The 23,419-nt window shown below is 45.5% G+C and overlaps 1 protein-coding gene and 1 pseudogene across 10 annotated transcripts in view, besides 1 other annotated feature; one reads left to right on the forward strand and one right to left on the reverse strand.

The window, feature by feature from the left end:
- The window catches only part of FAM186B (family with sequence similarity 186 member B), a 39,886-nt gene that overhangs the window by 16,251 nt on the left and 216 nt on the right, over nucleotides 1-23,419 (reverse strand). For 6 of the 10 annotated variants that reach the window (XM_011538797.4, XM_006719626.3, XM_006719625.3 and 3 more), the window contains exons 1-4: nucleotides 6,259-6,516; nucleotides 5,190-5,415; nucleotides 4,062-4,244; nucleotides 346-2,011 (exon numbers count right to left, since the gene is read on the reverse strand). In XM_011538797.4, coding sequence (XP_011537099.1) covers nucleotides 346-2,011; nucleotides 4,062-4,244; nucleotides 5,190-5,415; nucleotides 6,259-6,354 — 2,171 coding nt within the window. In that variant the 5' untranslated portion in view covers nucleotides 6,355-6,516. Of the gene's footprint in view, nucleotides 1-345; nucleotides 2,012-4,061; nucleotides 4,245-5,189; nucleotides 5,416-6,078; nucleotides 6,517-23,419 lie in introns of those variants that run through there. The other 4 variants (NR_027450.2, XM_047429641.1, XM_047429639.1 and 1 more) reach the window with 2 other exon arrangements.
- HIGD1AP9 (HIG1 hypoxia inducible domain family member 1A pseudogene 9) lies at nucleotides 20,144-20,552 on the forward strand (annotated as a pseudogene).
- Nucleotides 23,244-23,293: a silencer, noted in NCBI's record as "silent region_4440". NCBI's record gives its function as "represses an Ori minimal core promoter by ATAC-STARR-seq in GM12878 lymphoblastoid cells {active_cell/tissue: GM12878}" and the evidence as "EXISTENCE:reporter gene assay evidence [ECO:0000049][PMID:35858748]".

The following is a 23,419-nucleotide window of genomic DNA, read 5'->3' on the forward strand; positions in this document are numbered from 1 at the left end:
CCTCAGGGCTGGGATGAAACAGAAAGAGAAAGGAAAGACAGGGGAGCACATTAGGTGGATTATAGACAGGGCCATGGGAAGAGAGGAAGAGAGAGGGAAGTTGCTTAGAGGAAAAGCCCACTACAGGGAGAGCAGTGCTCAGTGCCCTTCTTCTCACATCTTCAAGGGTTGCCCAAGGCCCCAGGCCAGACTTGCTTTCCAGGCCCCCACTCAGGAGACCCTGTCCAGGCCTGGGGTGGCTCTCCCCATCCCCCCTTGCCCTGTGTTCCTTCTCTCCCACTGGGTTTAGGCTCTGCCAACATATTGCAGCAGGTGGGTGCCAGGTGGGTTCCAGGGAGGACCTACCGGAGGCTCTGGAGGCGTCTATAGAAGATGTACTTATGGCACAGGTACTGCAGCCTGAGCGCGCCCAGCTCCATGGTGGTGGTGGTGAGCTCCAGTGCTTTGCTGCGCAGGTAGTGGGGCAGCCTCAACTCAGACTCCTCACTCAGGAGCTGCAGGTTCTTCCTCTGGGCCTCCATGTCCATGTGGTACACCTTCTTCTTAATATTTGCAGGGGATATCTGCAAAGAGGGCCAGGTCAGCCTTCGGATGGATGTCCCAGTGACAGGAAAGGAGGCAGATTTCTTGGGCTTTGTGGGAACTCGGCGGGTCCGTGGTCTGTAGGTAAACTCCACTGAACTCATAGGTCTCTGCTTTCCCAGGGCAGGCTGCTGGGTACTAGGAGACATGGGCAAGTGTGGCCTCCTGCTTTGGTGAGCAGATTGGGTCCGGCTTGGGGCAGGCACTAATGATAGCTCTGCCTTCTCCAAGTCCCTCCATCGACTGGTGGGTGTGAAGATCCTCCTCTCCACATCCTCCCCTAGCTGCTCTGGCTCTCTCCGTGGGCTCTCCTGCTCCTTTTCTAGCTGGACCCATCTCCGCTGTTGCTCCCTGGCCAGGTCTTCCAGATTCCACTGCCGCAGCTTCTCCTGATGCTCCTGCTCCAGCAGGGCCCACTTCTTCTGCCGCTGCTGCCACATCTCCTCCTCCTCCAGCCACAGCTGCCTCCGCATCTCCCGGCCGAATTCCTCCTCCCAGGGCTCCTCTTGGCTCTCAGAGGTCACCTGCCTGGAGCTCTCTAGAGACAGCTGCTTGCTACAGTGGAACTTAATTTGGAGTCCTCCCTTCTGGAAGTAGTCCTCCTGGTCTTTGTCTTTGTGGCCTAAGCTTTCTGCCACCGGTCTTTCCCATTTCTTAGGAAACCTGCGATCTACTAAGGGTAAAAGCACAGGCTCAAGGCTCTCAGTGTCCTTGCTGCCGAACACATCTGCGACCCTCGAGCGCACAGTCATGGTGGAAAGTGGCTGGTGCCCTGCAGCTATAGCACCACTGTCCCGTATCATGGCCATGGGACTTGGGGGAAGTGGCGAGAACAACTGCTCCTCCTTCATCGGTTCCTGTTGGCTTTCCTCCATGACTGTTTCTTTCCTTGGGAGGGTCTCTCTCTCAGAGGGACCTGGGGAGTCAACAGAAACCTCAGCCAGGTCTTCTGCCTGACCTGTAGCATTCTGAGCCTTCTTCAGCTGGAACTCCAAGGCCTGCTTCATCAGGAGAAGGTCATGGTACCTTCCCCCTAAGATCTCTACCTGCTTCAGCAGAGCATCCCTCCTGCTCTCAAGGACCTCCATGAACTGCTGGAAGTGCAGCCTCTGGCTGCTGAGCTCTTTGGTCGCCTGCATTTGCAGGTGCCTGTATTTGGTCTCCAGGCTCCTGTTCTCCTTGTGTTGGAGGATCAAGGCCTTGTTGAGGTTCTCCACCACAGTGGCCATGTACCTGATGGCCCTGACCTCCCCCTTGCTGAACATGGTAGAGTCCAGGAGCTCCTGCAGCATGGACGTCACCTCCGAGGCCTTCGTGTTCATGGTATGCTGGTCCTGGAGCATCTGTTCTGGGCTTAGTGGCTGAGGATGGGATGGAGATGTCTGTGGGCTTCTTCCCTGCCAGCCCTGCCAGAAGGTGCGTTTGGACACTGGGACAGGTAGAGAGAAAAAAGTCAACGATTTCTCATGGGTCCCAAGGATTGCATTGATTCTCCAAACCCTGCAGGGCCAAAATGGCAACCCCCTTAGGGATTTGGCGAGAGTAGGGAGCTGGGGCTGTATATGGGGCCAGGGACAGTGCTGTCAGGACAGACCTCTGCTGAGTGCAGAGCTTGCCCAGAGCCCAGCCTCAGGGTCTGCCAGCTCCACAGCACCTGCAGAGACCAGAAGGGCCTGGCATAGGCAATCCAGCACAGCTCACTGCAGCATCCTCCTGGTCTTCCATGTTCTCCTGGGGTAGAGTTATTTTTCTAATCATGCCACTTCCCAGCCTCAGTATCTGTGTTTGCCTCCTATTGTCAGCTACTCAAACCCCTTACACCCAACTAGGAAGCCTGGTTTCCCTTTCCCATTAGCACTGGACTCTGCTTATGGAGAATTTATCACATGGTCCTCCAACTGTTCACATGTTTTATGTTTTTTTTTTTTAATAACTAATGTCTTTTTCCATTTGGGGGATCCCTTTGATACTCTGAGGAAAGCAGCAGACCCTCTCTCCCCAGGAAAATGCACTACACACAGATTGTGCCTGCCATTAGCAGATCTCAATTTTTCAAAGGCTGGGTCACGGTGGTCATTGTACCCCCTTGGACCTACTATGTATAGAGCTGGTGGAGTGATTATCTTGGAGCATCCATTCATCTGCCTATTTAAAAACATCACTGGTGGAAAAAACAATGCTAACTTCAGATGAGGGGTAGAGGAAATATAAAAATTAAGGGATACTGAAGTTGGGCTAGCATCTAGCTAGTATTGTCAGAGAGGCCATGTGGCCTAGTGGTCCAGAGTTTAGATTCTGCAATAAGATAACTTGGGTTTGAATCCCATCTTTCTGATTTGCCTTGGGCAATTTTCCTAACTTCTCAGTGTCTCAGTTTCCCAATGTGAAAAATGGGGATAATCATAGAATCTATGTCATAGGACTTAGATTATGCATGTTTAGTGCCAAGTGCAGTAACAGGTACCTAGTAAGTGCTCAATAAATCATCCCTAAAAAGAAAGAACTAAAGACACAGTCTTTACCATTCATAAGTTTATAATCTAGCGAGGGTCTAAGTATACAATAAGTGTATTTGAAGACATAGTACGGTACAGATTGCAGAAGAGATTGTTTCCTTATCCACTTTTCCCTGCCTTCTCCCTCCTGCTGACCTTACTTGATTGATAATGAGGCTGGCCATGAGGAACAATGGTAAATGCTGATGGTTAACTATTGTTAATTAAGCCCTGAGCATGTTCCAAGCATGGTGTCAGACACCTCACACTGTGTGGAAGCCTCCCCACAAACCTGGAGCTAGGCAGTATCCTCTTCTGTTTATATATGAGGAAACTGAGGCTCAGAGAGATGAAGTCCTTGCCCAAAGTGATACAACCAGAAATTGACAGAGATGCAATTCAAACTCTTGAGTGAGATTAAGAAGCCAGAAAACCTATGTGTGGGGCCACAGCCTTTCCTTGTGCTCCCTTCTCTTCTCTGAGCTTCAATGTTCTCATCTACAAAATGTATGAGTTCGATAATATCAGGTTCTCCTAATGTTGATGGGAGTAAAAAGCCAAGGTTCAGCTATTTGCTGATGGACCACCTCTGCAGCAGCCTCTAGCTGAGCCTCCCCAACCTTCCTAGCTCTGTTGCTGGGTTTGGAGTGAGAATAGGATGGCCCGCAGGTTCTAGCTGCTAACTCTAGCCCTCCTGGCCTCCCAGCTTTGTTCCTCAGAACCTACGTGAGGCCACAGCTCCAGTGAGCACACCAGAGACCTGTCTCCACATCACACCTCCCTTAGCGCTGAAGGACAGCTCAGAGCTGCTCAGTGCTTGGCCTGGGCTCAACCCTCAGCCCCTCACCACTGCCCATCCATCTCAAATCAAACTTCTGTGATGGAGGAGAATCAGAAAGACCCCAGGCCCAGCCTCTGACTTCCCCTGCCATGGCTCCACCCCGTCCCCACCTAGCTCCCTGGCCAGGTGCTCCTAGAACCTACCTTGTGACCTTTTCTTTTGTCCTTCAATGAGAGTGGAGCAAAGGGCAGTGAGTGACTCGATGCCTCTTTTGGTGGCAATGAGGGACAGCGGTAACACTTTCTCCGTCACTTCAATCCATTCGTCCAGAGCTGCTGCTTCCTCTTCACTCTTCCTGGGCCCAATCTCATAGGTCAGAGTGTCACCTGGAGAAGGGATGGGAGGTGCAGGCTGAGAGCAGTCTGTCCTCCAGGGGGACACAGACAGCCCTATAGCACAGGGGTTCCAGCAGCTGTGAAGTCACATTGATTTTACCTCTTACTAGCTATGTGATGTTGGGCAAGTCACTTATCCCCCTGAGCCTCAGTTTCCTTCCCTATAAAAGAACTGCGTGAAGATTAAATGAGATAATACATGTGGAACAGTTAACATGAGGCCTGCCATGTAGAAATTCACAATGGACATTAAATAGTATTGTCTGTACAGCAGGGAGGTATCTGACTTGTTACTGCTCTATGCCGATTGCCTAGTCCAACATCTGGACAACTGAATTAATTAAGCAGAATCAACAGCTCTGTCAGTCTTGAGGGCAGCTGAGGGACCACTGAACTAAGAGCTTCCAAGCATGGGGTAGTATGCAGGGGGCAGGGCACATACCAATACCATCTTCTTCCAACACTGGAGCATCCAGCACACAGCACACAGGTCCTGTGATGGGATGACTCTGAGCTGAGTGGGGGGTAGCACTTAGCTTTAGGGTTTAATGCAGCTGGCCCACACCCAAATGGCTGCACCAGTTGCTCACAGCTGGCATCAGGGCCCATGCAGTAAAGGTCATTCAGTGCTTTGAATATCACCCAGGGGTGCTCTATAAAATAGCTAATGTGGGTTTGAATTTAGTTTCTATCCTGCACAAAAATGAGATGTCATAATGGACCCGTGACTTAGGCTTCATCATATATTCAGCTAATGTCATGATCTGTGATGTTTGGACACTTCTGTGTCTGCCCCTCAGGAGCATGGAGGTGATGTGCTGTGACACGAGTGGTGGAATGCTTCACTGGAGAAGGGGATGTGTCCTGTGCTGTCCCTGTGCTCGCCACCCACACTCCCCTCCCAGAGGAGGCACGGTGCCCAGCCTGCAAACTCACCCCAGTCACCCAGCCAGCGGAGAATGTCATACAGGTGCTTCTCCTTCATCATAGCATCTTTGGAGAAGGAGGCAATTTTTTCCAGCAAGATGAATCTCTTCTTGCCCTTTGGATCTCTCTGCTGAGATTTGGCATTTTCTTTTAAATCATATCCTAATTCTTCCTGGAAGCGGTTGATGACACAATTGACATTGTCCAAAATGTCTGAGAGCTGGGTAGAAATATCCTATAGAGAAGCAGCAGATTGTAGTGTTAGGGCTGTGGACTTGAGCCAGAAGCCACATGCTAGCAGCGTGACCTTGGACAAGTCGCTTAGCCTCTTTGGGTCTCAGTTTTCTTATATTTAAAGTGGGAATCATTATAGTACCTATGTCACAGGGTTTCTGTAAGGATTAAATGAATTAAATATTTTAAAGTGCTTTTAATAGTACCTGGCACATTACACAAAAGTGGTAGCTTTTATTATCATTGTGATTATTAAGAAGGTCAAGAAAGTATAGAACACCAAAACCCCACAGCAAACATTTCTTTAGAATTTCAGAGGTTGCTGGGGGTTTCTGGATGTCTTTCCTCACAAGGATCCACAGGCAACAGAAGCTTGGAAAAGTGAGGCCCCAAGAAACTCTAGGATCAGAGGCTCAAGTAAAAAATGTACTAGAGCCTCGTGTACAGGGTGATTTGAGCCTTTGGACATTTCCCCAACCCCTATGAACTTCCTGGGCTCAGCTTGGGGGATTCTGGAGGGTTGCCAAGAACAGATTCTGGGTCCTTTCTCCTGCCCTCTAAAACCCACCACACCACCACGATGTGCCTCAGGGCTATCCTCGAGCTTCCTGCCCCCTTCCCGGGCCCCAGCCCTGCCTCAGGCGGGTGGTTGCTTTCAGCTCACCCTGTATATGCCAAGTTTAGGAGAGAGATAATTTATACTAATCTGTCTGCAGACCCAGGTTGCTGAATATCCCAGGGCCTCTGAGGACCCAGAGCTGGAATCTCACTCAAACCTGGGATCAGCCCCCAGTCTCCGCATCAGATCCCAATGTAAGAGTGATTCCTTCATCTCAGGGGCTACCTCTTGAGCCCGAGTTAGCTGGGCAGCCTCAATCCTCAGGATGATGGCTTTCACTGATGTGGGAGTCACCAACTGTGGGGGGTCATCCTTCTCCATTTTGGATCACTCTGTCAGTCACAAAACATCCTGTGTTTCTGGTCCACAGGCCTGGACACACAATGTTGCCTGCTTTGGAGGTTAAGGGCACCAGGGTGTCTCCTGGGTACCCTCTGCCCAGGCACAGCTCCTCTGGTAACTGCCAAACACCAGGTTCCAACTGATCCTCTTTTCCCCAGTGACATCATCAGTTTGATTAGAAGAATTAGGAGATGAGACTCCCCACTATCTAGCTTTTTGTCCATTACCTAACATATATTTACTTGACTTGTTGCCTTTTCTTTTTTTTTTTTTTTTTTTGAGACGGAGTCTCCCTCTGTAGCCCAGGCTGGAGTGCAGTGGTGTGATCTCGGTCACTGCAACCTCCACTTCCTGGGTTCAAGTGATTCTCCTGGCTCAGCCTCCTGAGTAGCTGGGATTACAGGTGCGTGCCACCACGCCTGGCTAATTTATTTTTTGTATTTTTAGTAAAGACGGGGTTTCACTGTGTTAGCGAGGATGGTCTCGATCTCCTGACCTCGTGATCCACCCACCTTAGCCTCCCAAAGTGCTGGGATTACAGGTGTGAGCCACCGTGCCCGGCCTACTTGTTGCTTTTTAAAAATTACTAAATGTTATGCTCCCAAACAAAACATTAATGTCTACAAATAAGAAAAAGCAATTAGCAAAAGTTATTTTCCTGAATAAAATATTTTAAATTTGTAAAAATTAGAGCCAATCAATAACCAAATGGAAGCCAGGCTCAGTGGCTCACGCCTGTAATCCCAACAATTTGGGAGGCTGAGGTGGGAGGATCACTTGAGCCCAGGAGTTTGAGACCAGCCTGGGCAACATGGTGAGAGCCTAGCTCTACAAAAAAATTTAAAAAATAGCCAGGCATGGTGGCGCATGCCTGGGATCCCAACTACTTGAGAGGTTGAGATGGGAGGATCACTTGAGCCCAGGAGGTCAAGGCTGCAGTGAGCCATGTTCACGCCACTACACCCCAGCCTAGGTGATAGATACCCTGACACACACACACACACACACACACACACACACACACACACAAACATACAGAGGGAGGAACATCCCATAATGCTAAAGATGTCAATTAATAAGGAGAACATAATTCTAAATGTGTATATACCTAATAACATTGCTTCAAAATACATGAAGTAAAAAGCTTCCAGAACTGAAAGGAGGAATAGGTAAATCCAAAATTATAGTTGGAGATTCCAGCACTTCTCTTGCAGGAGTTGATAGAAGTAGCAAAAAATAAAAAGTATAGAGGTTTTGAAAAATACTATCAACCAACTTGACTCCATTGACAGTCATAGAACACTTCACCCAACAACAGGACACATATTATTCCCTACGCATATGGAACAATGATCATATAAACCATAATTTGGGCCATAAAACAAGTATCAATTACCCTAAGAAGTCTAAAATAATACAAAATATGTTCTCTGACCACTATGGTATTAAACTATAAATCAATAATTGAGAGATCTTTGGAAAATTCCCAAATATTTTACAAATTAAGCAACATACTTCCATATAACCCTGAGTCAAAAAAGAAATCACAGGGAAAGTTATGAAATACTTTGAACCGAGCAAAAATAGAAACATATCACAATTTTGAGGATGCTGCCAAATCAGTGCTTAGAGGAAAAAACTAGAAAAGGAAGAACAAAAAAACCCAAAATAAGCAGAAGGAAGGAAATAATAAGAATAAGAATAGAGACCAATAGAAAACAAACAAAAATAGAAGAAAATCAATGCAACTAAAATCTGATGTTTTGAAAAGATTAATGCAATTGATAAAACTCTAGCCATATTTACCAGGAAGAAAAGAGAGAAGACAAGCTAACAATATGAAGAATAAGAGACTACAGACTCTACAGTGGGAATAATATGAGAGAGCAATATGAAAAACCTTTATGCCAATAAAGTTGGTAAATTAGATGAAATGGGCAAATTCTTTAACATACGTAACCTATCGATGCTCACTAAAGAAAAAAAAAGCTTTGAATATCCGTAAATCTACTAAAGAAATTGGATTCATAATATAAAAAACCTTTCCCTCAAAGAAAACTCCAGCCCCAGATAGTTTAATTGGTGAGTTCTGCCAAACATTTAAGAAAAAAAAGATACGGTTCTATAAAAACTCTTTCAAAAAATTGAATAGTAAAGAACACTTCTCAAATCATTTTATGAGGTTAGCATTATTTTTATTTTATTTTTTAATTTTTTCTGAGACAGAGTCTTACTCTGTTGCCCAGGCCAGAGTGCAGTGGCGTGATCTCGGCTCACTGCAACCTCCACCTCCTGGGTTCAAGTGATTCTCCCACCTCAGCCTCCCTAGCAGCTGAGACTACAGGTGCGTGCCACCACGCGCAGCTAATTTTTGTATTTTTAGTAGAGATGGGGTTTCACCATGTTGGTCAGGCTGCTCTCAAACTCCTGACCCCAGGTGATCCACCCACCTTGGCCTCCCAAAGTGCTGGGATTACAGGCATCAGCCACCGCACCCAGCTGAGGTTAGCATTATCTTGGTACCAAAACCAGAAAAACATGACAAGAAAAGAAAAAAAAGTACTACAGACTAATATTGCTCACAAATATAGACATAAAAGAAAATGAATTGATTGGGAGGCTGAAACAAGAGGATTGCTTGACTGCAGGAGCTGAAGTCCAGCCTGGGCAACTTAGCAAGACTTCATACCTTAAAAAAAAAAAAAAAGTTGGCCGGGTGCGGTGGCTCATGCCTGTAATCCCAGCACTTTGGGAGCCTGAGGCGGGTGGATCACTTGAGGTCAGGAGTTCAAGATGAGCCTGGCCAACATGGTGAAACCTTGTCTCTACTAAAAACATAAAAATTAGCTGGGTGTGGTGGTGTGCACCTGTAATCCCAGCTACTCTGGAAGCTGAGGCAGGAGAATTGCTTGAACCCAGGAGTCCTGGGTTGCAGTGAGCTGAGATCATATCACTGTACTCCAGCCTGAGTGACAGAGCAAGACTCCGTCTCCAAAAAAAAAAAAAAAACCAAAAACCTTTTTTTTCCCCAAGATGGCAGATTTGGGGCTGTTAGTGTGCCTCAGTCACTTGGAAATTGCAAGGTAGTGCATAAAGATCAACTCTGTGGGCTTTAATTCAAGAAAGAAAATGGGAATCCAACAGAATCATGAAGAACACCCTAGGTCTCAGGGAGGAAAACAAAGGCAAACAGCCCCCGTGATGGCATTTGGCTCATAAAAGTGAGTGAAGCCCCAGTACATGAGAGAGGCAGACAGGCTCTTTCCATCCAGTGGAAAGGGCACTTTGGGAAAGTGCCCTTTCCACTGGAGATACAAGCAACAGAGGCCAAGGGAGAGCACTTTGTTTCTCCCAAGTCCTGGAGGTAACTTGAGAAGATATTTGGAGACACTGAGAAGGAAAGACACTGGGAAAAGCTGTAGGCATTTCCCAGGCCCAGGATGCCACTTTTAATCCAGGCATACAAAGTTAGTCATTCTTTGGCGACACAGTAGCGTGGCCACACAGGCATTTTAGTCTTGGGCCAGAGATTGGAGTGCCTGCTCTCGAGGTGCATAGAGGTTTCTACAGCCAGAATTGTAGAAAGCACCTTGCAGTAGGTGCTGGCAATGTGCTCTTCCCTGTCACAGGACTGGGGTGGGAAAGGGACTGCTACAGCTGTGGTTTCTCCTAGGCAACAAGATGCAACCAGGGTCAGCTTGGTGACCTGTGGACTGGTCTGAGTGAGTTATTGCTTGGTATGCTAGACTGTTCTCCTGAGATCATGGTGCAGTGGGGCCCTCTCAGCTCAACACTCAGGGAGATCTCCAGGCATTTGGAGCACCCACTCACCCAGATCAGCAGCCTGAGCTGCCCTATCCTTCCTGTGCAGACACTCTAGTGAAGTGGGGCTCACTCTGCTCCACACCCAGGCAGATCTTCAGGAATTTGGAGCACCTGCTTGCCTGCATTTGCAGTCTGAGTTGGCACACCCTTCCTGTATAGAGACCATGGTGAAGAGGCACCCTATCCACCCCATGCCCAGACAGATCTCTAGGCAGTCGGAGCATCCGTTCACATGAATTAGCAGCCTGCCACCCCACCCTCCCTGTGTAGAGATTGTGGTGCAGCAGTGCCCTCTGCATTCCACACTCAGACACCTGGAGCATGCACTCTCCTGGATTAGGAGTTTAGGCCACCCTGGTTCCTTGTGCATAGAACTTGGGGCCAAGGAGGTTTCCCAACTCAACAACTAGCAACACCTCTGGGCACTGGGTGGCAGCCCACTGGATTCTCCCTTGGTGTTGGTGCTGTGCCTGCCATTGAGGGACCTGTAGACAGGCCTGCTCTGGTCCAGCCCCACTCATCTTACCTCCTGGGACTGAGCAGGGAGCTCAAGCCACTGTGCATTCCATGGATCAGCCCATTGCCTGAGGCAACAGAGAGCTTCTGCCAGTAAACAAGGATCAAGAATATACCCAGCCACGCTGGCCACAGCTGGCTCTTACTTATAAGTGCCATCTACTGGCCTGTACATCAAACCACACAACCCAATATAAAATCTGCTGATAGTATACAAGGCTATAGAAGCAAAGCCAAAAGACCCAATCTAATATTCTCTACAGTCATTACCCCCTAGGCAGGGGAGAGGGAAAGGGAAGGTGGAAAAAAAAAAAAAACCGATATTATAGGGAAAGAAATAAAAAGAAAAAAATTCTGTCCCCCCACACACAAATTAGAATTGCCAGCATCTCCAGATGAGAAAGAACCAAAGCAAGAATTCTGGCACCATGAAAAATCTGAATGTAGTGACACCACCAAAGGATCGCACTAGATGTCTAGTCCTTAACCAAAATTGAAACTCAGAAATGACAGATAAAGAATTCAAAGCATGGATTGCTAGGAAACTCAACAAGATCCAAGACAAGGTTGAACATCAACCTAAAGAAACTTCTAAAGCAATCCACAAAATGAAGGAATAGATAAACATCTTGAAAATAAATCAGTCAGAGCTTCTGGAATTGAAAAACAGGCTGGGCGTGGTGGCTCACGCCTGTAATCCCAGCACTTTGGGAGGCCGAGGCGGGCGGATCATGAGGTCAGGAGACTGAGACCATCCTGGCTAACATGGTGAAACCCCGTCTCTACTAAAAATACAAAAAACTAGCCGGACACGGTCGTGGGCGCCTGTAGTCCCAGCTACTCAGGAGGCTGAGGCAGGAGAGTGGCGTGAACGCGGGAGGCAGAGCTTGCAGTGAGCCAAGATTGCGCCACTGCACTCCAGCCTGGGCGACAGAGCAAGACTCCATCTCAAAAAAAAAAAAAAAAAGAAAAACTCACTTAAAGAATTTCAAAATACAATTGAAAGCTTTATCAATGACTGGACCATGAGAAGAAAGAATTTTGGAGCTTGAAGTTTGGTCTTTTGAACTAACCTAGTCAGACAAATATATAAAAAAGGTAATTTTTAAAAATGAACAAGGCCAGGCACAGTGGTTCATGCCTGTAATCCCAGCACTTGAGAGGCCAAGGCGGGCGAATCACTTGAGGCCAGGAGTTCGAGACCAGCCTGACCAACATGGTGAAACGTTGTCTCTACTAAAAAAAAAATTAGGCCAGGCACAGTGGTTTATGCCTGTAATCCTAGCACTTTGGGAGGCTGAGGCAGGTGGATCATCTGAAGTCAGGAGTTCAAGACCAGCCTGGCCAACATGGTGAAACCCCATCTCTACTAAAAATACAAAAATTAGACAGGCATGGTGGTGGGTGCCTGTAATCCCAGCTACTCAGGAGGCTGAGGCAGGAGAATTGCTTGAACCTGGGAGGCAGAGGTTGCAGTGAGCTGTGATCCCACCACTGCACTCCAGCCTGGACGACTGAGCAAGACTTCATTTCAAAATAAAAAAATACAAATACAAATACAAAAATTAGCCAGGCGTGGTGGCATGCACCTGTAGTCCCAGCTATTCAGGAGACTGGGGCATTAGAATTGCTTGAACCCAGGAGGCTGAGATTGCAGTGAATTGAGACTGCACTGCTGCACTTCAGCCTGGGCAACAGAGCAAGACTGTGTCTCAAAAAAATAAATAAATAAAAATGTAGGCCGGGCGCAGTGGCTCACACCTGTAATCCCAGCACTTTGGGAGGCCGAGGCGGGTGGATCACGAGGTCAGGGGATCGAGACCATCCTGGCTAACACAGTGAAACCCCGTCTCTACTAAAAATACAAGAATTAGCTGAGCACAGTGGCATGCACCTGTAGTCCCAGCTACTTGGGAGGCTGAGGCAGGAGAATCGCTTGAACCTGGGAGGCGGAGGTGGCAGTGAGCTGAGATCATGCCACTGCACTCCAGCATGACGAAAGAGCGAAACTCCATCTGAAAAATAAAATAAAATAAAATAAAATAAATAAACTTCATAGTTGAAGGAGAAATAAAAGCTTTTCCAGACAAGCGTGCTAAGGGAATTTGTTACCACTAAACTAGCCTTACAAGAGATCCTTAAGGGAGTTCTAAACATGGAAATAAAAGAACAATACCTGCTACCACAAAAATACAGTTAGGTGAATAGCTGACAGATTCTATAAAGCAACTGCATAATAGAAACTACAAAGCAACCAGCTAGTAACTTCATGATAGGATCAAAATCTCACATATCAATATTAACCTTGAATGTAAACAGTCTAAACGGCCCACTTAAAAGGCACAGAGCTGCAAGTTGGATGAAAAAACAAGACCTGTCTGTCTGCTGTCTTCAAGAGGCCCATCTCACACATAATGATACCAACAGGCTTAACATAAAGGGTTGAAGAAAGATCACACAAATGGATCTTTCTTCAAAAAGAGCAAGGGTCACTATTCTTAGATAAAACAGACTTTAATCCAACAAAGTTTTTTTTTTTTTTTTTTTAAAGGGACAAAGAATGGCATTACATAATGATAAAGGAAGCTTGTCCAACCTGTGACCCATGGGCTGCATGTGGCCCAGGACAGCTTTGAATGCAGCCCAACACAAATTCATAAACTGCCTTAAAACATTATGAGGTTTTTTTATGTGTGTTTTTTTTTTTTAGTTCATTAGCTATTGTTAGTGTTAGTGTATTTTATGTTTGAGCCAAGACAATTCTTCTTCCAGTGTGGCCCAGGGAAGCCAAAAGATTGGATATCCCTCTCAGATAAAGGATTCAATTCAACAAGAAGACTTAACTATTCTAAATATATATATGCACACAACATTGGAGCACTTAGATTCATAAAACAAGTACTTCTAGACCTACAAAAAGACATAGACAACCACATAATAATATTGGGAGACTTTAACACCCCAATGACAGCATTAGACAGATCAACAAGGCAAAATACTAACAAAGAAATTCAGGACTTAAATTCGACACCTGACCAATTGGACCTAATAGACATTTACAGAATACTCCAACCACCAACCTCAGAATATACATTCTTCTCATCTGAACACAGTACACACTCCAAGATCAACCACATGCTTGGCCATAAAGCAAGTCTCTATAAATTCAAAAAAATCGAAATCATGCCAACCATATTCTCACACCTCAGTGGCATAAAAATAGAAATCAAAACAAGAAGATCTTCAAAACCACACAATTACATAGAAATTAAACAACTTACTCCTGAATGACTTTTGGGTAAGCAATAAAATTAAGGCAGAAATCAAAATATTCTTTGAAATAAATGAAAACATTCCAAGAGGAATGTTTACAGCACTAAATGCCTACCTCAAAAAGTTAGATCTCGGCCTGGTGCAGTGGTTCACGCCTGTAATCCCAGCACTTTGGGAGGCCGAGGTGGGCAGATCACGAGGTCAGGAGATCGAGACCATCTTGGCTAACATGGTGAAACCCCATCTCTACTAAAAATACAAAAAATTAGCCGGGTGTGGTGGTGGGCGCCTGTAGTCCCAGCTACTCAGGAGGCTGAGGCAGGAGAATGGCATGAACCTGGGAGGCAGAGCTTGCAGTGGGCCCAGATCATGCCACTGCACTCCAGCCTGGGCGACAGAGCAAGACTCCATCTCAAAAAAAAAAAAAAAAGTTAGATCTCAAATTGGCCGGGCGCAGTGACTCATGCCTGTAATCCCAGAACTTTGGGAGGCTGAGGTGGGCAGATCACTTGAGCTCAAGAGTTCAGACCAGCCTGGGCAACATGGGAAAACCCCATCTCTACAAAAAATACAAAACTTAACCAGGCATGGTGGCATGTACCTGTAGTTCCAGCTACTTGGGAGGCTGAGGCGGGAGGATCACTGAGTCCAGGGAGGTCAAGGCTGCAGTGAGCTGTGATCACACCACTGCACTCCAGCCTGGGTGACAGTGAGACCTTGTCTCAAAAAAACAAAAACGAACAAAATAAGAACTGGCCGGGCGCGGTGGCTCACACCCGTAACCCTAGCACTTTGGGAGGCCTTGGTGGGTGGATCACCTGAGGTCAGGAGTTCAAGACCAGCCTGGCCAACATGGTGAAACCCCGTCTCTACTAAAAATACAAAACATTAGCCAGGCATGGCAGCGGGTGGCTGTAATCCCAGCTACTTGGGAGGCTGAGGCAGGAGAATCGCTTGAACCTGGGAGGTGGAGGTTGCAGTGAGCTGAGATTGTGCCATTGCACTCCAGCCTGGGCAACAAGAGTGAAACTCTGTCTCAAAAAAAAAAAAAAATTAAAAAACAAAACAAAACAGAACTACCATTCAACCCAGCAATCCCATTACTCGGTATACACCCAAAAGAAAATAAATTGTTCTACCAAAAAGATACATGCACTCATATCCATCACAGTGCCATTCACAATAGCAAAAACATGGAATCAACTTGATTCCATGACATGACCACCAACAGTGTTTTGGATAAAGAAAATGTGGTCCATACACACCATGGAATACTAGACAGCCATAAAAAATAATGAAATAATGTCCTTTGCAACAACACGGATGCAGCTGGAGGCTATTATCCTAAGCAAATTAATGCAAGAATAGAAAACCAAATACCACGTGTTCTCACTTGTAAGTGGGAGCTAAACATTGGGTACTTATGGCCAGAAAGATGGCAACAAAAGACACTGGGGAGTACGGGAAGCAGGAGGGAGAAAAGGAGGAAAGGGCTGAAAAACTGACTATTGGGCACTGTGCTCAATATCTGGGTGATGGGATCAATCATACCCCCAACCACAACATTCACGCAATATACCCATGTAACAAACCTGCACATGTACCCCCTGAGTCTAAAGTAAAAGTTGTGGGAGCTAAGCTATGAGGACACAAAGGCATAAGAATGATGCAATGGACTTTGGGGACTCAGAGGAAAAAGTGGGAAGCGGGGTGAGTGATAAAGGACTACACACTGGGGCCGGGCGCAGTGGTTCACGCCTGTAATTCCAGCCCTTTGGGAGGCTGAGGTGGGCGGATCACGAGGTCTGGAGATCGAGACCATCCCAGCTAACAGTGAAACCCCGTCTCTACTAAAAATATGAAAAATTAGCCAGGCGTGGGGGCGGGTACCTGTAGTCCCAGCTACTCAGGAGGCTGAGACAGGAGAATGGCGTGAACCCAGGGAGGCAGAGCTTGCAGTGAGCCAAGTTCGTGCCACCACACTCCAGCCTGGGTGACAGAGCGAGACTCCGTCTCAAAAAAAAAAACAAGACTACACATTGGGTACAGTGTACACTGCTCAGGTGATGGGTACACTTAAATCTCAGAAATCACCACTAAATAACTTATTTATGTAACCAAACACCATCTGTTTCCCAAAAACCTATTGAAATTTTTAAAAATTAAAAAAAATTATGATCACAATTACAAATGGAAAAAAGTAAAAGCTGAATTTATTTAAAAACAACAACAAAAGAAAATGAATTGAAAGCTACTGACTAGACTAAAAAGTATTTGCAAACATGTATTTGATAAAGGAGTTGTATCCAGAATAGATAAAGAGCTACTACAACTCAACAAGAAGACAAACAACCCAAGATTCAAATACACACATCACGAAAGAAGTTATACAAATGGGCCAGGTGCAATGGCTTACGCCTGTAATCCCAGTACTTTGGGAGGCTGAGGTGGGTGGATCATGAGGTCAGGAGTTTGAGACCAGCCTGACCAATATGGTGAAACTCCGTCTCTACTAAAAATACAAAAATTAGCCGGGTGTGGTGGCACCTGCCTGTAGTTCCAGCTACTTGGGAGGCTGAGGCGGGAGGCTCACTGAGTCCAGGGAAGTCAAGGCTGCAGTGAGCTGTGATCGTGCCACTGCACTCCAGCCCGGGCAACAGAGCAAGATTGTGTCTCAAAAAGAAAAAAAAAAAAGAAAATATACAAATGGCAAATAAGCACATAAAAAGATTCTCAACTTATTAGTCATTGCATTAGGGAAATACAAGTTAAAACCATGAGATCCCAACTCTGATAAGAATGAGTCAGATGATAAAAAGTGTGACAATACCAAGTGTTGAGGAAGATTTTGGGAAAGTGAAACTCTTATATGGTATATTGCCGGTGGGAATGTACAGCCACTTTGGAAAAGAGTTTGGCAGTTTTTTTTTTTTTTGAGATGGAGTCTTGCTCTGTCGCCCAACCTGGAGTGCAGTGGTGCAATCTCGGCTCACTGCAACCTCCGCCTCCCGGGTTCAAGCGATTCTCCTGCCTCAGCCTCCCAAGTAGCTGGGATTACAGGTGCCCGCCACCATGCTCGGCTAATTTTTGTATTTTTAGAAGAGATGGGGTTTCACCATGATGGCTAGGCTGGTCTCGAACTCCTGACCTCAGGTCATTCACCTGCCTCGACCTCCCAAAGTGCTGGGATTACAGGCGTGAGCCACCGCACCCAGCCAGCAGGTTTTTAAAAAATATGCATTAGCATATAGCCCAGCAATCCCACTCCTAAGTATTTAAATATTTATTATAAAACATATGTCCACACATAAATCTATACAGAAGTATTGATAAACCTGAAAAAAACCCAAACACAACAGTCCATCAACTGGTGAATGGATAAACAAATTGTAGTATGTCCGTGTGATGAAATATACCACTTCACATGACAAAGGAATGAACTACTGACACATGCAATGACATGGAAAATTTCAAAAGCATTATACTAATGAAACAAGCCAGATACAAACTCCTACAAACTATATAATTCCACTTATATGAAATTCTAGGAAGGCAAAACAATAGTGATAGAAACCAGATCAGTAGATGCCAGAAGCCAGGTCAGCAGGGAGGAGACTGACTGCAAAAGGGCACAAAGGTTTTTGAGTAAAGGAAATGATGATGGTGATGGTCACATGACTGGATACATCTGTGAAAATTCATTGTATTGTACACTTAAAATTGCCATTATATGTAAATTACACCTCAATAAAGTTGATTTTTTAAAATGCAATGTTTTGTAATGCTCGAGACTGTGGAGGGATTGTGGGCAACCAGGGCAAAGGGCTAGCAATTAGGAAGGTACTGGAGGGTGTTAGGAAATAACTCTTCTTCCTTTGTCAATGGTGAGTCTCCTTTATTTGCATACCCTTTTCCCCTGGGACTGGGATGCTCCCTCTTGTAGACATTAGTCCTTCTTAGCCCCTCTCACACGAGCAGCTTGGTGGCCGGCTACAACACCTTCACCACAGTTCAAAGGCCATAGTTTGGTGATCGCTAGCCCGGGAGAGATGTTTACAAACTTTAAAACAAACAAACAAAAAATCACCCAACCCCTTCTCAAGCAAAGCTGTATGCAGACCCTCACTAACCAAAACAAAAGCAATATTTTGGCTGGACATGGTGGCTCACGCCTGTAATCCCAGCACTTTCGGAGGCCAGGGCAGGCAGACGGCTCGAGCCCAGAAGTTTGAGACCAGCCTGGGCAAAATGGTGAAACCCCATCTCTACAACAAATACAAAAATTAGCCAGTGTGGTAATACATGCCTGTAGACCCAGCTACTCAGGAGGCTGAGGTGGGAGGGTCACCTGAGCCTGGGAGGCAGAGGCTACAGTGAGCCGAGACCACACCACTGCACTCTAGCCTGGGTGTCAGAATGAGACCCTGTCTCAAAAAAAAGCAATATTTTATTAGTACACATTTACATTATAAGTTTAATTTCATGATAGCTTTCTATTATAAAGTCATTTAATGTCAACAAGCCTGTTTTCATGAACCCAGAAATTTGATATTCATATGTATATTTTTAAACTACTATTTTAAAACCAGTTAAAATATACTTAAAGTTTCTGGGTAAAAAATGGTAGATTGAACATGAGCATCCAAATTTGTCCACTGAAAACCCATGTAGCCAAGGGATTTTTAAAGGCATAAATCCATAAGGACAGGGAAACAGGAGAAGAGACGAGCAAAATATTTTCAGAAGTGGAAGCCAGATGGATGAGAGATTACTCACTTACACTAGAGAAGGACAGATCCTAAGGCAGCGGCAGAACTCTATGGCAAATGGAATTGGTTGTGCCAGACCAGAGATGGGCAATCTCCTCTGTCTGACCACACTGAGAAGGAAAACCTAGGAATGCTGACATCAGAAGTTCCCAGCCAGATCACTGTGCAAAGAAGCTCATGACTGGCCGGGTGTGGTGGCTCACACCTGTAATCCCAGCACTTTGGGAGGCTGAGGTGGGTGGATCACAAGGTCAGGAGATTGAGACCATCCTGACCAACACGGTGAAACCCTGTCTCTACTAAAAATACAAAAATTAGCCGGGCGTGTTGGCACGTGCCTGTAATCGCAGCTACGCAGGAGGCTAAGGCAGGAGAATCACTTGAACCAGGGAGTTGGAGGTTGCAGTGAGCTGAGATCACGCCACTGCACTCCAGCCTGGCGACAGAGTGAGACTCCGTCTGAAAAAAAAAAAAAGAAGCTCATGACTGACAAGCCCATCCATGTACCACCTGAACAGAGAACAAATGCTTCCAGTCAGCTTTTAGGTGACCCATCCTTAAGTGTGAGCAGACAACCAAGGAGTCTAAGACCTCCAAGAAAAGAATCTAATATAGAAGACAGAGACCAAAACAAAAGAAAAAGAAATTTGGAGCAGAGATTATGTAGAGAAAAAAAAATGACAGAACTATCAGTAACAGCTTCTGAGATAAGATAACCCTGAAACAAAATATGCTATAAAAAGGACAATTCGGAGAATAAAAATAAAGTGAAAGTGATTAAAACCTTTAAAAGATGGAAAAACTCAGAAGAATGGGAAGATAAAGTTGAGGAAATCTCCCAGAAAATAAAGTAAAAAAGATGCAAAGCTAGAGAGAAAAATAAGAAATTAGAAGGACCAGTTCAACAGGTCCATTGTCCAAGTAATAGGAGTTCCAAAAAGGAAAGAATAGAGAAAATAGGAAGAAATCACCAATAGGATGATTCAAGATTATTCCCCAAAAGTGAGGGGCACTGAGTGCCCAGCACAATGGAAGATAATAGCCACTCACCAAGACATATCACTGCAATTTCAGAACATTGGAAACAAGAAGTTCAGAGAGGGGAAAAGTCACCTAGAAAGGACAAGGAATTAAAAGGCTTCAGACTTCTCATTCTCCACAGCAGTGTCAGAAGCTAGAAGACCATGTAGCAATGCCTTCATAATTCTGAAGGAATTCATTACCCAGCCAAACAACCAATCCAAGGGTCACAGTTGAAAAATGACAACAGCAAAAACGCAAAGTTCCAAAATAATTTACTGCTCCCTTTCTCAGGAAGCTTCTGGATGATGGTCTCCTCAAAAAAGCGGGAGTATTATAAATCAAGAAAAACACAGGCACAGGTGGGGATCAGAAGCCGGTTGGTGTGTGAGGGGGTTTTCTCGCTCTAGGGAGATTATTCAAGCAATCACTGTGTCAACAAATACAGATGTTTCCCTTCATATGATGAAAATCTAGGGATCCAAACTTATTTGAAAAGCTAAAGAGGCACCATTCATCCCCACTGGAATGGCAGGTTTTGCAGCAATTGTTGCATATGTATTATACAAACTGAAGAGCAGGGGAAATACTAAAATGTTGCATCATCTGATCCACATGTGTGTGGCAGCCCAAGGCTTTGTTGAAGGAGCAATGACTGTTGGTATGGGCTATCATTCCATGTATCGGGAATTCTGGGCAAAACCTACACCGTAGAAGAAATGCTATCTTGGTTTTGTTGGAGGAGCTTACTTTAGTTAGACATCTCTTTTTTTTTTTTTTTTTTTTTTTTTTGAGATGGAGTCTTGCTCTGTTGCCCAAGCTAGAGTGCAGTGGCACAATCTTGCTCACTGCAACCTCTGCCTCTCGAGTTCAAGTGACTCTCCTGCCTCAGCCTCCTGAGTAGCTAGGATTACAGGTGATCGCCACCACGCCCAGCTAATTTTTGTATTTTTTTTTTAGTAGAGACGGGGTTTCACCATATTAGCCAGGTTGGTCTTGTACTCCTAACCTCAAGTGATCCACCCACCTCGGCCTCCCAAAGTGCTGGGATTACAGGCATGAGCCACCGCGTCCACATCTCATTATTGAAGCTACATATTAATGATTAAAATAAACTATTTGAGTGGGTTCAGCTGATAACACGGCATTGTGAATACTGGCCTTCTTTCTTGCAGGCTTGATTTGCCTGGTGACTGAATTACTAGTGACTAGTTTACTAACTAGGTCATTCAGGGGAGTCAAATTAACACAAAAGAAACATGTCACCTAAAAGATGGTGTTGAAATGTCCACCTTCTTAAACTGTTAGGATAAAATTAGTTCTAAAGAAGATAGCAAACCAACCCTGAAGTACTCCTAGTTTGCTGCAGAATCTTGCATGTTTTGGATGTTATATGAGTTCTATTTGCCCCAGTTAATTTAACTTTTTTCTGCCTGTCTTGTGGACTGGCTGGCTCTTTTAGAACTCTGTCAAAAAAGTGCATGGAGGCTGGGCGCGGTGGCTCACACCTGTAATCTCAGCACTTTGAGAGGCCAAGGCAGGTGGATCACGAGGTCAGGAGATTGAGACCATCCTGGCTAACACAATGAAACCCCATCTCTACTAAAAATACAAAAAAAAAAAAGTGCATGGAATATAACTTGTAAAACCTCCCACAGCTGAAAGTATATATGTGTATGTGTTTAAATCAAATCTAGGAAGCTTACAATAGAGCTGCATAGTAGTAGCATTTATTAAAGAATCATAACTGTAAACATGAGAATAACTTATGAATTCTAGTTTAGTTCTTTTGTAATTGTAGATATCTGTATTTGCTGCTGTAATATAAGGATAATTTTTAAATGTCATCTTGAAACAGAAACATGTATTTCAAGCACTCATGGAAGGTAACTGAAGAACACTTTTTAAATGGAGAAAATGTTATTTTCTCCGTAAGAATTGTAAACGTTAAACATATTACCTATAATGGAATTAATGATTTATAAGCAAGCTGGTTTGAACAGACATTATACACATGCTTTTCTATACTACAGAATGCCATTACACTTGTGAAATTCTCTTGTCTAACCTGAATTTACATTCCATGGTGATAACATGGTATATGTATTGTTATAAAAATAAGTGACCATGTCAAAAAAATAAAAAAAGAAAAGAAAAGCATAGAATATGGCAAATAAAAATCCCACAGAAGAGTGAGGCAGCCAGGCAAAGTGACTCACGCCTGTAATCCCAACACTTTGCCAGGTCGAGGCAGGCAGATCACTTGAGCTCAGGAGTTCAAGTCCAGCCTGGCCAGCATGGTGAAACCCCATCTCTACTAAAAATACAAAAATTCGCCGGGTGTGGTGGCGCATGCCTGGAGTCCCAGATACTTGGGAGGCTGAGGCAGGAGGATAGCTTGAACCCGGGTGGTAGAGGTTCAGTGAGCCACTGCACTCCAGCCTGGGCAACAAGAGCGAGACTCTGTCTCAAAACAAAACAACAACAACAAAAGAATGAGGCAAAGAACATGCCCAGGAGAATGAGAAAAGAGATGCCAGGTTGCCAGATGTGCAGCAAGGTGAGGGGATGAACAGTCAGATTGGAGAAGGTCAGCAGTCTCCAGCAGTGATGTCTTCAAGAAGATGAAATGGAGAGAATTCTCTGCTATATCTAGATATTCTGAGAGGAAATTTAAGCAACTGGGGGAAGAATTTGAGGTAGAGTTTGTGAGAAATACATAGAAAATAAATGATTTTAAAAAACAAGATTATTAATTCCAGGAAAAATAAAAGTTTGTGCAGGAAAAAACAGAAGGTCTCCCTGGGGAGGACAGACCCAAGGAGGAAGCTGGGCAGGGAATTCCAGGGTCCTAGGTATTCAGAATATGGTCTAATCCTGGGCAAGTGTGCTTTGCATGGGCAAATCCCCTTGGACCCCTTGCCCTGTGGGGAGGGCTGCAGCTGGGGGAAGGCCGGAGATGTGAAGGTAAATGCCAGAAGAAACAGCTAAAAGAGGTGAAAACGTTGCCTCCAGAGAGGGGAAGACGATGGGGGCAGGGCTCTGCTGTTTGTCTTAACAAATCTGGTACAATTATTCGATTCTATATGTGTGTACATGTTCTAAGAAATATTTCATTAAAGAAAAGAAAAGCATTTAAAAAATAAAAATGCAATTCATGAAAGTTCACGGAACCTCTGGACCACTTCTGCTATACTTAGAGATCTCAATAATAGTTTGAAAATCGCCCCAGCTGCGCTGGCATCGCGGCAGCCCCCGGGGGAAGGTGGGAGCGGTGGAGAGGCCGCCGGTGGTCCGTCCTCCTCCCCCCGCCCGCCCCCTCCATTCCCCTCTCCTGCCGCGGCGGCGGCTGCGGGCCGCGCGCCAGTCTCCTCACCCCACCTCCCCCAAAAGTTTGAAAACCACAGGACCCAGCGTGGGCAGTACAGGGAGACGTCGTCTCCAAAAAGTTACAAAATTAGCCGGGCGTTGTGGCACACGCCTGTAGTCCCAGCTACTCGGAGGCTGAGGGAGAAGGACCGGTTGAGACCAGGAGGCTGAGGCTGCAGTGAACCCTGATTGTGCCACTGCACTCCAGCCTGGGTGACAGATCAATACGCTGCCTCAAATAAGAAAAGAAAACCGCAGAGCTGGGCCTTCAT

This window comes from Homo sapiens, chromosome 12 (genome assembly GCF_000001405.40).
Source record: "Homo sapiens chromosome 12, GRCh38.p14 Primary Assembly".
NCBI classification, from domain to species: Eukaryota; Metazoa; Chordata; class Mammalia; order Primates; family Hominidae; genus Homo; species Homo sapiens.